The 16947-nt window shown below is 35.9% G+C and overlaps 1 long non-coding RNA gene across 1 annotated transcript in view; it reads left to right on the top strand.

Moving 5' to 3' along the window:
- LINC01707 (long intergenic non-protein coding RNA 1707) overlaps nt 1–14920 on the top strand; it is a 129106-nt gene extending 114186 nt beyond the window's left edge. Inside the window, exons 4-5 of the long non-coding RNA NR_146608.1 lie at nt 12687–12778; nt 14703–14920. This is a non-coding gene — a long non-coding RNA (long intergenic non-protein coding RNA 1707). The remainder of the gene's footprint in view (nt 1–12686; nt 12779–14702) is intronic.
- The last annotated feature ends 2027 nt before the right edge of the window (nt 14921–16947 follow it).

The raw sequence follows: 16947 nt of genomic DNA on the forward strand, positions 1-16947 counted from the left end.
GAGGGTCCCTGTGCTGTGTGCAGCCTAGGGACTTGGTGCCCTGCATTCCAGCCACTCCAACCATGACTGGGACCAAGGTAGAGCTCAGGCCATGGCTTCACAGGATGCAAACCCCAGGCCTTGGCAGCTTTCATGTGGTGTTGAGACTGCGAGTGCACAGAAGTCAAGAATTGAAGTTTGAGAACCTCCCCCTAGATTTCAAATGATGTATAGAATTGCCTGGATGTCCAGGAAGAAGTTTGCTACAGGGGTTAGGGTCTCATGGAGAGACTCTGCTAGGGCAGCATGGAAGGAAAATCTGGGATCGGAGCTTCCACACAGAATCCCTACTGGGGCACTGCCTACTGGAGCTGTGAGAAGAGAACTACCATCTTCCAGACCCCAGAATAGTGGATCCACCGAGAGCTTGCCCCATGTGCCTGGAAAAGGTGCAGACACTCAATGCCAGCCCATGAAAGCAGCCAGAAAAAGGGCTGTATCCTGCAAAGCCACAGAGGCAGAGCTTCCCAAGGTGGTGAGAGCCCACTTCTTGCATTAGCGTGACCTGGATGTGAGACATGGAGTCAGAGGAGATCATTTTGGAGCTTAAGATTTGACTGTCCCCCTGGATTTTGGACTTGCATGGGGGCCTGTAGCACCTTTGTTTTGGCCCATTTCTCCCCTTTGGAATGGCTGTATTTACCTAATGCCTGTACCCCCGTTGTATCTAGAAATTAACTAACTTGCTTTTGATTTTACAGGCTCATAGGCAGAAGGTACTTGCCTCATCTCAGACGAGACTTTGGACTGTGAACTTTTGAGTTAATGATGAAATGAGTTAAGGCTTTGGGGGACTGTTGGGAAGGCAAGATTGGTTTTGAAATGTAAGGACATGAGATTTGGAGTAGGCAGGGGCAGAATGATATGGTTTGGTTCTGTGTCCCCACCTAAATCTCATCTTGAATTGTACTCCCATAATTCCCATGTGTTGCGGAAGGGACCCAGTGGGAGATAATTTGAATCATGGGGGTGGTTTCCCCCAAGATTCTCACGGTTCTCATGGTAGTGAATAAGTCTCATGAGATCTGATGGTTTTATCAGGGCTTTCTGCCCTTGCATCTCTCTCATTTTTTCTTACCACCACCACCACCACCACGTAAGAAGTGTCTTTCACCTCCTGCCATGATTCTGAGGCCTCCACCCAGCCATGTGGAACTGTAAGTCCAATTAAACCTCTTTTTCTTCCCAGTCTTAGGTATGTCTTTATCAGCAGTGTAAAAACAGACTAATACAGAGGTGATCTGGGACTCCCCTGCAACAGGCCCACAGAATGATGAGATATCTGGCTAAACATTATTTCTGGGTGTGTCTATGAGGATGTTTCTAGAAGAGATTAGCATTTGAACTAGTAGACTAAGTAAAGTAGATGAGTCAAATGTGGGTGGGTACTATCCAATCCATTAAGAGCCTGAATAGAACAAGAAGATGAAGGAAGGCTGAATTTGCTTTTTGACTGGCTGCTTAAACTAAGACTTTGACCTTCACTTGCCCTCAGTTCTCCTTGTTCTTGGACATTCAGACTTAGACTGGGATCTACACTGCCAGTTTCCTGGGCCTCCAGCTTGCAGATGGCAGATTGTGGGGCTTCTCAGCCTCCATAATTATGTGATCCAATACCTAATTATAAATCATATATATATATATATATATATATATATATATATATATATATATTCTATTGGTTCTGTTTTTCTGGAGAATTTTGACTAATACAGCTACAGAAGTATTTATCCACCACGATGCAAAACAAAAGACATATAATAACAAACAAAACTTTGCTTGTGAATGCTTTTAAAAGGGTCAAGAATTATTGTTTTTTGTAGTCCTCACTACTCCTGATTTTCTTACAGCTGTCTGTTTTGCTTATTTATGTTACTATCCTAGTCCTTCAATTAATGGTTAAGACATTAAGGAATAAAATAACCTAAACCAAGAACGACTGTAGAAATAATGCAGAGCAAAGAGATTAGACAGAGATTAAAAAGATAGAATACAGAAGTTGAAATTGGGGAGCTGGTGCCAAAGAATATAATTTGAGTCACCACGAATTACAAAAGATGATCTCAAGGTAGATGAGCTCACCCTCTGTGGCTTTGCAGCCTGATAAGAGAAGCAGAGCAAGGGTGAAAGTTTGAGAAACATTGACTTAAAAGAATGTATTTAGGAAGAGTAGTTCATAAAAAAGACCTTCAGCGTGGGCTAGTGTGCAATCTCTGCCTATCTCTGCCCTTCTGAAGCCTGTGACATTTGACTGTGGATCATGATTAAGAGAAAGAAATGGGGGGAATATGTCTCACATACACTAAAAATGTCCTTAGAGTCACGAGAGTTGCACTCAGCTCATTTTAACTTCCACTTCCTCAAAAGTAAATAGGAGAGCCCATCATGGCCAAATTAATGCATAGTACTATGCAGAGCCAAGGCCCTTGACCCCCTGGAAGTTGAAAAATTACTGACATGAGGCAAATTAATAGAAAAAAAAAGGCATATAAATTTATGTGTTTATGAGGGAAGCTTCAGAACGAAGACCCAATCACCCACTGAGATTCAGAAGCTTATTTCCCATCTTGACAAAACAAGTTCTGGGAGGTGGGAGAAGAGGGATTCTGTTGAGAGACAGTAAAGATTGCTAGGGAGAATGAATGGACAGGGAACAGAGATGAACGGGTAAGTAGATCTCTTTGGAATTTGCTTGAGTCTGAGAGACAGCCATGATCTCATGTGTGCTCAGATGTGGTTACATTCTTGGTCTTCTTTTCTGCGATAGATAATTAGACAACAGGGAGGGGAGGAAAACAGTTGTTCCCATTGGTCATAGAGAAAATTCAGAAAACAACTTTGTCCTTTCTTTCTCCTTTTTATACTGTTTTATCCTTTTTATCCTATGCTTTGGGAGAGATATGTGTGTTGGAGAGGCAGAGGGGAGTGTCAGAGGGACTTCGAGCCTTCTTTAGTCCAGTATGTCAAAATATCATATTTTTAGGTACTGGTTTCTGAGGTCCAAGAGTACTTCCAGCAACCTAATAATTTGTCTCCCTTTAAACCTAATATTGTTTAGATAATTTTTCACATTATTTAGTGGAAGTGGGGAGAAACTGGTTTCATTAAACTGTTATTTAAATCATGCTATAGTCTGAACATATATGCCTCCCTAAAATTTATATGTTGAAATCTAACCCCTCAAATCATGGTAATAAGAGATGGAGTTTTTGGAAAATGACTAAGTAATGACAGTGGAGCCCTCAGGAAAGCGATTAGTGCCCTTTAAAAAAGGCTCAACAGAGCTCCCTGGTGCCTTTCTGTCATATGAGGACACAGCAAGAAAGCATCTGTGATGCAGAGAGCAAGCCTTCACAAGACACCAAATCTGCTGGAACTTGACCTTGAACTTCCCAGCCTCTAGAACTGTCAACAGTGAATTTCTGTTGTTTATATACTACCCAGTCTAAGGTATCTTGTTATAGCAGCCCAAATGGACTAAGACAAATCGCATAAGATAAATACTAACTAATATTTTTTCCAATTTTTTATTGCAATAAAATAGACATAAAATAGAACTTACCATTTTAAGCAGCTTTAAGTTTGCATTTCAGTGGCATTAAGTATGTCATATTGTGCAACTATCACAATCTTCCATTTCCAGATCTTGCAATAATGAAACTCTACACCTGTTAAAGACTAACTCCCAATTCTTCCCTCCCCCAGGCCCTGGTAACCAGCATTATACTTTCTGTGTCTATGATTTTGACTACTCTAAGGACCTCATATAAGTGAAATCATATAGCATTTAACCCTTTTTTTTGACTGGCTTATTTTACTCAGCATAATCACCTCAGGGTTCATCCATGTAGCATATGTCAGAAGTTCCTTCCTTTTTAAGGCTGACTGATAAGGAGGAATTTACTTCTGTCATTTTGCTATTTGTTTTCTATATGCCTTATGGCTGTTTTGCCCTTTATTTCTTGTATTAGTGTCTTCTTTTGTGCTTAGTTGATTTTTTGTAGTGAAATATTTAAACTCCTTTCTCATTTCCTTTTGTGTATATTCTACAGCTATTTTCTTTGTGGTTACCATGGGGATTACATTTAACATCCTAAAGTTATAACATTCTAATTTGGATTTATACCAGCTTAACTACAATACCATATAAAAATTGCTCCTTTACATCTTTCTCCCCACTCCTTTCAGTTTTTGATGTCACAAAATTACATCTTTATACATTGTGTGTTCAAAAACATAAACTCATAATTTTTCAAAATGTATTAGTCTTTTAAATTATGTAGAAAGCAAAATATGCATTTGCAAACTGTTGTTACAATAATACTAGCTTTTATACTAATAATTGCCATATTTAAAATGTATTAGTCTCTTAATATATTCAGGAGGGGGATGTATAGCTACTACTATGTTAAGAGCTAAAAATGACCATGATCACAATTAACCCCAATTTACTATCCAGTCCTTCCCCTGGAAGTTGCAAGCCTACAGTGCTCTCCAGAGTTCCCAAATTGTTACAGCTGAAAGATTTTACCAGTGCAATTGTTGTCTAGGTGGGGAGAGAGAACCCTGGTGCTTCCCATTCTGCCATTTTCCCTGATTCTTACTGTTAAAAAAATATCCAAACACTTTAAAAGTACAAAGAGCAGAAAATGACTGTCTCCTTGCATTCCTTGCCCCTGATATTCCTCTGCATCTTCATAGCTTTGATCATATTACAGTTTACTGTTTGGTATATGTTTTCCGAGAAATTTTGTCTATGCTTTTATATGAACATTAGTACATCATTCTTTATTTGGATAAACTGTTACACACTACATTTTTATATTGTGTAGTGAAAAATTATCCTTACCAAGGAGAAGTCTGAACTTCACCCTTGACTTTTGGTAAGAGATCTCTAGGCCCTAGAACGTCATGCCTAATAGGAGTGTCTTTATTTGCCTTTGGGGGCTTTGGCCACTGGACAGTCTAACAATGTGATTTATGATGGGGACTTTGGGCTGTGATATATAAATTCCAAACTCCAGAGGAACTGATGACCAAAGGTATTAGCCAAATTTCCAGGAAGGGCTTGAGATTTAAGGTGAGTCATGCAGGTAGTATGTGACTGAGCTCCAATAAAAACTCTTGACACCAAGACTTGGGTGAGGTTCCTTGGTTGACAATACTCTGTGCATATTGTTATAAAAGGTGACCAGGAGGAGGCAGTGCCATCCATGACACCACAGAAAGAAGACAATTGAAAACTCCCTTTTTGGATCCTCTTGGATTCTAGCCTATGTGTCTTTTCCCCTTAGCTGACTGTAATCTGTATCCTTTTTCTGTAATAAATCGTATTGTGTGTATAATTACTTTCAATAAATTCTGAGTCCTTTAAGCTAATTATCAAACTTAAGGGTGGTTGTGGAAACATTTGTAAACTTCTAATTGATGTCACAAGTGAGGATGGTTTTGTGTGGGAACTGTGCTCTCAAACATTATAGCTTAGATAACTCCAGGTACACATAAATATGGATCTCCTTGTTACATGAAAGGTTAAGTACAGATTTTAAAAAGTTTCATTTTTGGCCGGGTGAGGTGGCTCACGCCTGTAATCCCCGCACTTTAGGAGGCCAAGGTGGGTGGATCACGAGGTCAGGAGATCGAGACCATCCTGGCTAACACAGGTGAAACCCTGTCTCTACTAAAAATATAAAAACTTAGCAAGGCGTTGGTGGGCGCCTGTAGTCCCAGCGACTCGGGAGGCTGAGGCAGGAGAATGGCGGGAACCCGGGAGGCGGAGCTTGCAGTGAGCCGAGATCAGGCCACTGCACTCCAGCCTGGGCAACAGAGCAACACTCCGTCTCAAAAAACAAAAACAAAAACAAAGTTTCATTTTTTCTCTTTTCCAAAAAATTTATTTACTATCTCTATTTATGTTTCTTTTCTTTCTTTCTTTTTCCTTTTCCTTTCTTTCTTTTTTAATAAATTGTAGAATTAGCTTGTCATAGTTGACTAAGAATTTGGTTAGCATCATGTTTGGGACAACAGTGAATTTGTTTTTTAACATAGGAACATTTATAGAGGTGGCATAATATTTACTTTTTCCTTTCGTGAATTTTGTGTGTCTATTTACTTTAGTCTTCTTTTATGTCCTTTGGTGTACTAAATATGCTAGGTACATTACTAGACATTTTATATTTTTGTTGCTAATTCAAGTGATATTTTCCCTTTACTTTTTCTTATTGTTTATTTCTGTTGTATAAAGTAGTGGGGTTTCTTGTATTAATCTGTTGTATTGATTTTTAGTATGGATCTTTTATATCCAGCAATGATAATAAAACCAGTTATTAATTTTGAGAAATTTTCAAGTCAATTCTCCCAGATTTTTTTTTTTAGAGACACATATCATTTGTAAATCCTTAAAGTTTATTTAGCCTTCTCAAATATATGTGCTTTTTATTTATTTTTTCTCATTTACTTCATTGTCTGGGATATCCAGAAAGATAATGATACATGACAGTGACAATTGGTGCTAGAAAACTAAATGTTTGTGTTCCCCCGAAAATTCATAAGTTGAAGCCTGATTCCTCATGAAATGATATTTGAAAGTGGGGCCTTTAGGGGGTTATTAGGTCATGAGATTGAAGCTCTCATGAATGAGATTAGTGTCCTTATAAGAAGAGACACAGGAGAGCTTGTTTTTTTCTCTTTTTCTCCACCATTTGGGGAAACCAGGAAGTGGGCCCTCACAAAAATCTGATCATGCTAGCACTCTGATCTTGCATATCCAAGCCTCCAGAATTGTGAGAAAAGAAATATTTCTTGTTTAAACCATCCAATCTCTTGTATTTTTGTTATAATAGCCTGAACTAAGACAGTTAACATCTATAATTTGTTCCTGAGTTCAATGTAATTTTAAAAACTATTTACCCTTAAGTTTTGCTGGGAGATTCTGATATACAGATATTATATCAAATAAAAAAAAGTTTTCTTTTTTTGCTATTTGCTAATATATTTTTTAAACAAATATTCCATCAAATTTTTTTCATCTGTTAGTTTTTCTTAATTCATGAATGCAGTGATATATATATATATTACTGCATATATATATTATATGTGTGTGTATATATATATATATATATACATATAATTTTCTTAATTTAGAACTCTCTTTGTATTCCTTGGAAAGAAGCCCTTCTTGATCAGAATACATTATTTCTTGTCCATTTTTGTTGTTAATACTTAAGCTTCTTTTGTGATATTACTTGAGAAACTTTCCAACCTTTTATGTACTCTGAAAAGTTAATGATGTTGAGGCATATTGGCATTTTGTCTCTCTTTTGATTATAACAGTTGTGGAGTATTGAAATACAAATATATATATTTGTAGCATATATCTGTCTGCAAAAATGTATGTATGCAAAAGTAAATAGTTTTCTAAGAACAGACATGACCAGTTAGGCTGTGTACATACAAAATATTCAAGTATTAAATGACTCTGACAGTGAGTTGTAAAATCTAAGGTTAGTCAGTAACACATCAGTGTGTCTCTGTTGAACCATAGCTCCTTCTGTGCTAGGCACAGGAGTGAAAATAAATATGAAAGTTGTTGCTGCCACATTAACTGACTTCTTACTCAGGAAGGCTGTGCGTTGCAAATGGAGTAACTTAGCAATAGCCTTGGTAATATGCTATTTGGTGTTAATGATCAGAGCCTTCAAGTGTCATATTCCTTGATTCTAGTATTTATCATATTTAACTAGAATTTAACATCTCCCCTCTATCTACCCAAAACACTCCTTTCCTGTGTTTTCTAAGTAAATGGCATCCAACAATTATCATTAGAACTGGGAATCATTTGTGACTTCTACCTTTCCCTTATGTCCATATTGCACTGATCTCAATTTCTAGAATTCTACCATTTAATCTCTTGGAAATCCCTTTATTCTGCATTAATTTACTCTTAGGTCTTTATAGTTTCATTTCTTACTGTCATAGAAGTTGTTAATTAAATACCACAAAGAAATTGGGGGCAGGGATTTAAAAATTATAATACAAACATTATCTGATCCTAAAAGTTTGCTACAAATTGCTCGTGAAATTTCTGAGCCTAATATTTGTATAGGCAGATCCTAGGATATCTTTTCATATTTTTTATGGTTATTATTTAATTCAGGTTTTTGAAATGTTGTTGAGTCAACTTTTAAAAATTATACACTACATTTCTAGGTTTCTAATAATTACTTTTGATTTTGAAGCTTAATCTTTTTTTCAACAACGTTTAGGGTTAATATTTGTATTCTCTATCTGATCAAAATCTAATCTGAGTCTTTGCAAAGTTTTACTTAATGGGGAACTTCTCTTCCATCTGCCTCTGCACAATTTTCTATGTAATAATCATCTTGGACTTTAGATTCATGTATTATCATTGATATTGCACATCAACATTTATTAAAACTTCACTGTTTTTATTGGAGTTTTCACTTTGCATCCTCTCTTAAATTTCACATATTATTTTTCTTGATTATATTTCACTTTGCCATAGAAATTCTTCAATTATGTCTTAATATGTAATAATTTGCTCATCTGTTTGACCAAAATGTTGGCTAAGTATAGAATGCTTATTTCAAAAGTATTTTCTAGATTTTTTTTTCAAAAGATTGAAGATATTACTCCATCCATTCTAGAATATAGGCACCCCTGAGAAATCTAACACAAATCTCTTTAAATGTTTTTGTAATTTGATAATTTTAAGGGTAGATTTTAGAATTTTTTTCTTTATTCCTTGAGTTCTTAGGTAAATCAGAATATGTCTATTTTTTTTTTAAGATTCATGTTATTTGGCACCCAGTGACAATTTAAAGATAAGATTTGATGTCGTTTTTAGCTCAGTGGAAAGGTTTTCTATTATTTCCTTTCTTTGATTATCTGAATTCTTTCATTTGGAACTCCCTTTAGATGGAAAATGGGTATCTTGGATTGCTCTCTGTGAAGCTTCATTTATTTACACTTTAAATTTTGTTGTCATGTTGCTCTTTATTAATTGTGACTTAATAGGATTTATTTTTCAGATCATTAATTTGTTATTTAGCCATTTCCTTTTTCTATTTAACCTTTCTTCTAATTTTTATTTCTAATTTTAGTTGCCATTTTTATTTTAGCAATTTATTCTATAGTACAGACACTTCATATTTATCATTGCAATTGCAAATGAAAATTGTTGATCATATTTAGTTTTCCTCTGAAGCTGTTAATTAAATTATTATGAAAATTTCTGTTTTTCCTTGAATTTTGTTTTTTTCCAAAATCAACTCTTCTTATTTGTTTATCTTGGTCATTCTATTTTAGTTTATTACTTTTCTTTTTATTCTTTTTGTTTGTTTGAGATGGAGTCTCACTCTGTCACCCAGGCTGGAGTGCAGTGGCATGATCTCGGCTCACTGCAACATCCGCCTCCTGGATTCAAGCGATTCTCCTGCCTCAGCCTCCCAAGTAGCTGGGACTACTGGCATGCACCACCATGCTCAGCTAATTTTTGTATTTTTACTAGAGACGGAGTTTTGCCATGTTGGCCAGGTTGATCTCGAACTCTTGACCTCAGGTGATCCGCCCGCCTCAGCCTCCCAAAGTTCTGGGATTACAGGTGCCAGCCACTGCACCCAGCCTATTGCTTTTCTTTAAAAGTCTAGTGGCACTTGTCTGCCAATCTGATTTAGGAATGAAGGACTAGGTAGATTAGTAAAGGCAAAGAAAGGCATTTTATTTCCAGAGATGTAAGTCTGTCTATCACCAACATTCCTCTCTTCTAACTGCTTGGGCTGGTTGCAGCATTTCTATTTTCATGGGAAGTGCAACAGGCAAGCTTCACTTTAAGGTGTGTTGGGGAAAATAGTCATGGAAAGACTGAGAACCTTACCCTACACTTCCACCAATTGCCAGATAAGGAGGTTTGCCTTGGCTCTGAAGCACTTTAGATTATTTTCTGTCAGGGCCACCTTTCTATGCTTTCCAACCCTATGCCCACCCTCCACCTTCACCATAACTCATGTCGCAATCTGAAGTTGACGGAAGCTTTGCTCTGCTTTTGTTTCTGAGCCCCATGCCCACACTAGGAAGAAAGAAGAAATGTTAAGTTTTAAAAAGTATATAGTTGTTTTTAGGTGATTTCTCTAGGATCCCCTCTGGCTTTTTGAGCAGCCTGTCTCTGAGTCTTGAGAATCATTTATAATTGTTTGAACTTAGATTCTAATTTTTCTCATATTTGTGACATTATTTGGTTTCTAGTCACAGTCTATTATATTTTTATTTCACTTTTCAGGTGGTCCTCAGATTTTCTGTTCTATTAGTGATATCCTATAATTTTATTCCATTGATATTCTGTATTTAATCTATTTAAAAATATTTTTCTATAATTCAATGAGTTCTATGAAGAATTTATGATTATGCTGTATCTGCATTTTTCATCTAATTTTTATGATTGTCAAATTAATTAAAAGTGGATAATTTACTTCTTTATATTTAAAATGAAAAATCTTTTATAAGCATTAACCATTCTATAACTTTATTACATTTGTAGTTAACTTCTATTTCATAATTTTTCTGTCATTCATAAATAATGTTGGCCATTGGGTTATGAAGGGTTCTCCAGAGGAATAGAACCAATAAGATATGAGAATATGCAAAGAGAAAGAATTACTTTAGGAATTCCTCATTTTAAGGAATTGGTTCATGTGATTGTGGGGGCCTGGTAAGTATAAAATCTGCAGGGCAGGCTCGCAGGCTGAGACCCGGGAAAGATATAATGTTGCAGCTAGAGTTCAAAGACACTCTGGAGGCAGAATTCCCTCTTCCTCTGAGGATCTCAGTCTTTTTCTCTTGAGGCCTGCAACAGATTGGATAAGGTACATCTACATTATGGAAAGTAATCTGCTTTACTGAAAGGCTATTGACTTAAGTGATAATCTTACCTAAAAAGTACCTCAATAAGAACATCTAGACTGGCATTTGATTGGATATCTGTGTTCCATGGCTTAGCCAAGTTGACACGTAGAATTAACCATTAAGTCATACATATTCACTAATGTATAAATTATAGTTATAATACATATATATGATTTCAAAGCCTTGTTCGAAATATATTTTAAAAGTTCCCAAATATTTCTTGAGTTTTGAATTAAGTATTTTAAGAAGATTATTTATTCCTGACAGAAACTCCTGTGTCAGTATTAGTCAATTTCAAAATTTCAACCTATTACAACTATTGAATTTAGGCAACTCTTAGTGGACTAGTCTCAAGGTTTCTGGCTTAGCTTGTCATGATACCAGTCAATTAGATGGATTATAGAATTCTCAACAGAGGTAACTAATACTGTAGAGGAGATTTCTGCTGTTTATTGTTGCTTTTAAATTTCCATGAAAAAAATGTCATTTGGGATAAATATGTTAGATAGTATTTTTGTCCTAACTCTTTATACTTTCCTTATAATAGAACTTTAGGTCCATACACTTTGCCATGTGCTTTGCAGTAGAGTAGACAGAGAATATGTCTCCTTATTGATATTGAGCTGGGCGATGTCCCTTGCTTTGGGTGATGGAATGTGCACTGGTTTGCAGCCAGAAGCTACAGTTGTATGATTTGGTTTACCCTCTTATGCTTCCCTTGTTTGATATTAGGAGAGAATGCTCTGAATAGTCTCTGTTTCAGAAAGAGAAGTATGCAGAGAAGACCTAAACTGGACCTATAGTTTGAAGTAGAGCGCTGTTAGACTCTGATCCACAGACATATGCATAAGAAAATTCATTATTATTTTTTAAATCATTAAACTTTGGGAGTTGTTTCTTACACAATAACTTTACAAAAGCTGCCTAATATTGTAGGGAAAAAAAAACAATTTTCATGTCACTGTTACTTGAATTCATTGGTATCACCTTTTATCCACTTATTTCACAAATATGTATTGAGTGACTACTGCATGCCTGGGATTTTCCTGGGACGTATTAGTACTTTCCTACTGCCAGGGATATTTCATCTCTGTTTTCATATAGGGTACAAGAAATCTACTTTTCTAGCTTCCAGTTTAATTTGGATCCGGGTAGACCTGCTGTTGAAGAAAATAAATCATCATATTATTTTTCCAATGTAATGTTTTAGTCACTTTGTGGCCTAAAGGAAGAAAGCCAGATACAGAACATGATACTTTCTGATTAACAAAGTGACAAGGGAATTTTAAACCTTTTATATACAAATGAAATTATAGATTGTGGGTAAGGACAGGTCAGGATAGGCCACAGTGACAAATGACTCTAAAATCTCAGTGGTCTACAAAAGCAGGGATTTTTCTCACTGATGCTGTGGGAACATCATAGGGTGCTTATGGCTCTTCTCTATATTGTCTTTTCTCTGGGCCTCAGGCTGCTGAAACATTCATATGTAAAACATTGACAAATTCATAACGAAAGGAAACTACATACCTGCTCAAAAAGTTTCTGTTTGAACTGGAATTTGTCATTTTAATTCTCATTTCATTGGTCTATTCTGTCATCAGAAGGTTATAAAATTATAATCCTCCCCCAGGGAGGGCAGAAAACAATTGTTAATTATAATAGACTTTTTCCATGGAAAAACAAATACAATGTTTAACCTTATAATGAATAGTTAATTTCCATAGGAGGAGATTTTTCAGCTTTTGAAGTCTGCATACCTTCAAGGAAATTCTTCAAAAACAGCCAAGACATTTTAAGATGAGGAGCTACAGAACAGGTATAAATCTGATACAAATCTTAATCTAACAAGAAACAGAGTGTATTTTCATAATAACTCTAGGTCAAATGCCTTCTAAACATTCCTAAATTTTGTCTTTATCAGTGAGCGGTCCAGAATTTTGCTTCCTGCAATGTATTGGAGTTCACAGTATTCCACCAATTTTTCATTAACATTTGCTAATGAGATCTCTTATTAAGATCTCTGGCATAAGCATAATTTTTATTAAATAGGACTGAATTAAGGAATATGGATCTTAGAGATTTTCTATTTTGACATTAAAGATTATAAGGATTATATATTTTTATCTTCTCAATAAAGCAACTAGCGAAATACCTGGCATAAAATAAGACTAAGAAAATCCCTCATCTCTGCCTACAATTGTACTTCCAGCTGCCTTTAAGGATCATTTAACCTTTATAAAACCTAAAGTAAGGCTTTACCATTTATAAAGCACTTTTCAAAAATTCAATTAATTCTCATTACAATCTTATGCAATATGTATTACTACTTTCATTTCTTTATGGATGAATATATTGAGACTACAAAAGTTAAATAAATTTTGAAACATCAAATACCTTAGCAACTATTTGCTAAGGGGACCTTTTTTCAAAATCCTATATGCTTCCCAGCACACCTGTTATAATGCCTAAAATTTGCTTTAAAACACTACAGTACTGTTATTGTGATAGTAGGTGTGTGATGGTTATTTAAATTTTAGCTCTAGATGTGATTAGGTGATACTATCAGGACCTTAGGGTCTAAGGGTAGTCTGCTAGCAATGTGATAAAGGGCCTGGCTTCTGCCATTCCTGCTGTTATTACATAATCAATAACTGACACTTTACTAAATGAACAGTAAGTGCAAAAAATAAGGTTTTATTAATAGAATTAATCTTATTAAATATCATAATGTTTTTTAAAAGGGATCTCATTTATAAAAGTGAAGATATTCAAGACCTGCAATTTGACTACTTGCTTGCTTGTTCTGTGGACTCCTCTGGGATGGGACCTGTGATCTTGATACCCCAGCTGGTTCCGTGTCTACTTATTAATTTGGGGAGGATTTCTGGATGGCATAATGCCACATGGAGTCCTTGTCTCAGGAATTTTGCTGTATCTTCTTCAAAATTAACTTAAGTGGTTGGAACATCCAAAGGACATAGATGTGGAATTTTTTCCAATGTAGGCAACAGGTGGTACGAATCCATTCTGTGCCAACATTGCTAATAAATAGTAATCTAATAAATGTCTGTGTGAGGAGCAGAATTGAGGAACAATATATGGTATGTTTTATTTATAACCTGACAGCTAAGTTATGGAGCTTAGCAAACACTAGCCCCCATAGATTCTTCTAGTGGCTACTTTTATCTATGACCAGATTATCCTAGTTCTCAATTACACTATGTATCTTCTCAACACTGTGCAGCATTTCTTCCTGAATGCTGTTCTCTGAAACCTGAGTTTACCTGTGTGCTAATATTGATGACACTGACTCAGTGACTAGAGCATGATTTTTGCAGGGCCTTAAAATGCTCTGGATAAGTATCTGAATTCTGAACATAATTATGTAAGCTAGAAATTAACTCCTTAAGAGTGTTGCTTCAGAAACCTCTGCAGCACCCTTATTTTTTTCTTTACAGCTATGGAGAATGAGAGATTCCTACTGCAGTATTAAAAATTAATGTTACTTATATGCAGCCAGCACACAAAGAAAATATTGAAACTTGGTAATAAAACAAGTGCTTAGCAATTATACAAAGCCCATCTTTAGACAGCTTTACAAATACCAGCTAATTAAATTTTACTAAAGACAATTTATTTATAATATAATAAACATATGGTGGAAATAAGAAAACAAAACATAGCCATAGAAAATAACACTCAAATCAAATGCTAATAGATTGAATTTTTCCTCCTCATAGGGTACATGCCCCACAGTCTTCAATACTTTTTATTATTGTTTCAAGAAAACTGGATAAATTCATTCTGAACATCACAGACTTGAAAGTCATTGTTACCATGCCTTTGAGAATGCCTATAGTTATCATTGCCATCATCTCAAAGGAGAAGAATTCTTTAACTCTTATTGTATATGCAATTTTGAATAAAAAAATCAAGTTGCATTGTTATTGAAATTAAAGACACAAAGTATTTTTCCTTTGGTTTTTCACCTTAAATGGTTTGATGCTCCAATTACCACCATTTTTTATCTTTCTTGTTATGCTTTCCAAACTGGCACTATTATTTTGATACTGAGTTTTTGTTAATAGCAGGAAATAATTATCCAATTGTGCAGCCTGAATCTTTTTTTTAATTTTTTTTATTTTTTATTTTTATGCTGCTTTGTGTGTTTGAAATCAGGTCTGTAATAGGAATTTAGAAACTTTGATTTGGCCTTGTAACCTTGATTGCTAATTACTGTGTCAGTAAGTCCCAGGAGCTGTATGGATGGAGTAGGTGGTAAGTAGGTGGTACTATCATATTTTTGGCATTTTATAATAGAGTCTAATAAACTTTTCTTATTTTTCCTTTTTCAAGACTTTCTGACTTCCTAATATTATTATCCTCTCTTAAAACCTATTGGGGAAGACTGGCCAAGATAAATTAAAAGTGGCAAACTTGCTTTATCACCTGTAGGACAAAACTCAAACCTCCTTAGCATGATATAGAAGACTTCTTAGGACTTTCATTTTCTGATACTTATTGCTTATTCAGCTTAATCTCTCAATGCTGTAAAACTTGGATCTGGAACTCTAGTTACATAAGCAGTTCTTATGCTATTTTATGTCTTGATTCTTTAGCACAGCTTGCTTCTATGCATAAGGTAAACTTTTTTGCACCTGGTAAACTCCTAATCTTTCAAGATGACCTTTAATGTCTACTTTAACATTACCTGCTCAGGGAGATAATTATAAAGCCTATCCAGTAGATCTTACGATACTCTTCTCTGTGTCACATATCATTTTGAACAAACTTCCATTATGTTTCTATTTGTCTGGATTACCTTCCTGATTTATCTACTAGTCATTGAGCTCTCTGATGACAAATGTTATATTTTATTTCTCATGTCTTTCATCACCTCTAGCACCTGGGATGGGTCTTTAGAGGGAAAGAAAGCTTACTTTATTCTCCCAATCCCAGGGATGGCTTCATTGTCCTGCCTCCTTTCTCATTATTCTTGAGGGAAGAGTGTCATTTATCTGATTGGTCAGATACAGCATGATGACAAGCCACATTAGGTGGTGGGCATGGTCATGGTGGGTTCTCTTTTCTGCTTTTTCCTGTCATGCAACTAGAGCAGTAAGTGGACCAGAGCCCTTCTTTGCACTGCAAGCCTGCTTACTTCTCTCAATTTCTGGTCATCCTTTCCACAGCATCAATAATCTGGAGCACAGTGAGACTGGACTTTGGAGGTAGAGATAAGAGGCTTATTAAACTTACAGTTTAGGAGGATCTGCAAGAATTCCCTTTCTTGACTATTCAGAGCTCCATCAATTTGGGATCTCTGCTGTGTGCTGTCCACTCACAGGGGTAGAACATGTTTTGCCTCCCATTATTTGTGAGTATATTACTAGTTGGGAAATTTCAAAGACCAGAAGTTGGCTTTAGAAAGGTGATAAAGAAAAGTCATAGCAACAGGGTGGTGGACCTCATGGCCCTCATGGCCTCCAAGGAGTAAGACCCCCAGACCACCAGCCCCAGCAAGAGCACGAGAGGAAAAAGAGGCTCACTGCTGGGGAGTCCCTGTCACACTCAGTCCCCCACCTCACTGAGAATCTCCCTTCCTCACAGTTTCCATTCAGACCTCCTGGAGAGGGAGGGGCTGGGGGAGCCCCACCTTGTCGTGTACCATCAATAAAGTCCCCTGTGCTCAGTCAAAAAAAAAAAAAGTCATAGCATATTAAAGGAGTTCTCACAGCTGCAGAGAAAAAAATAGCTGTTGGAGGAAAAAAATGTCAACTTGAATAGAAAAATATTATGAACACTTAAGTTTCAAATGAAGACTCATAGAAATAACTTTTTTAAATTAAAAAAATAAAAAAAACATGATTCCAAACTAAACAATTTGATAAGTCAACCAAAGAAAGTATGGCCTTGGTTGAGAACTGAATTAGTATCCTAGAAGATCAAAGAAAACTTAGAGCAAACATTTTTAAATGGAGATAT

Source organism: Homo sapiens, chromosome 1 (assembly GCF_000001405.40).
Source record: "Homo sapiens chromosome 1, GRCh38.p14 Primary Assembly".
In the NCBI taxonomy this organism is placed as follows: Eukaryota; Metazoa; Chordata; class Mammalia; order Primates; family Hominidae; genus Homo; species Homo sapiens.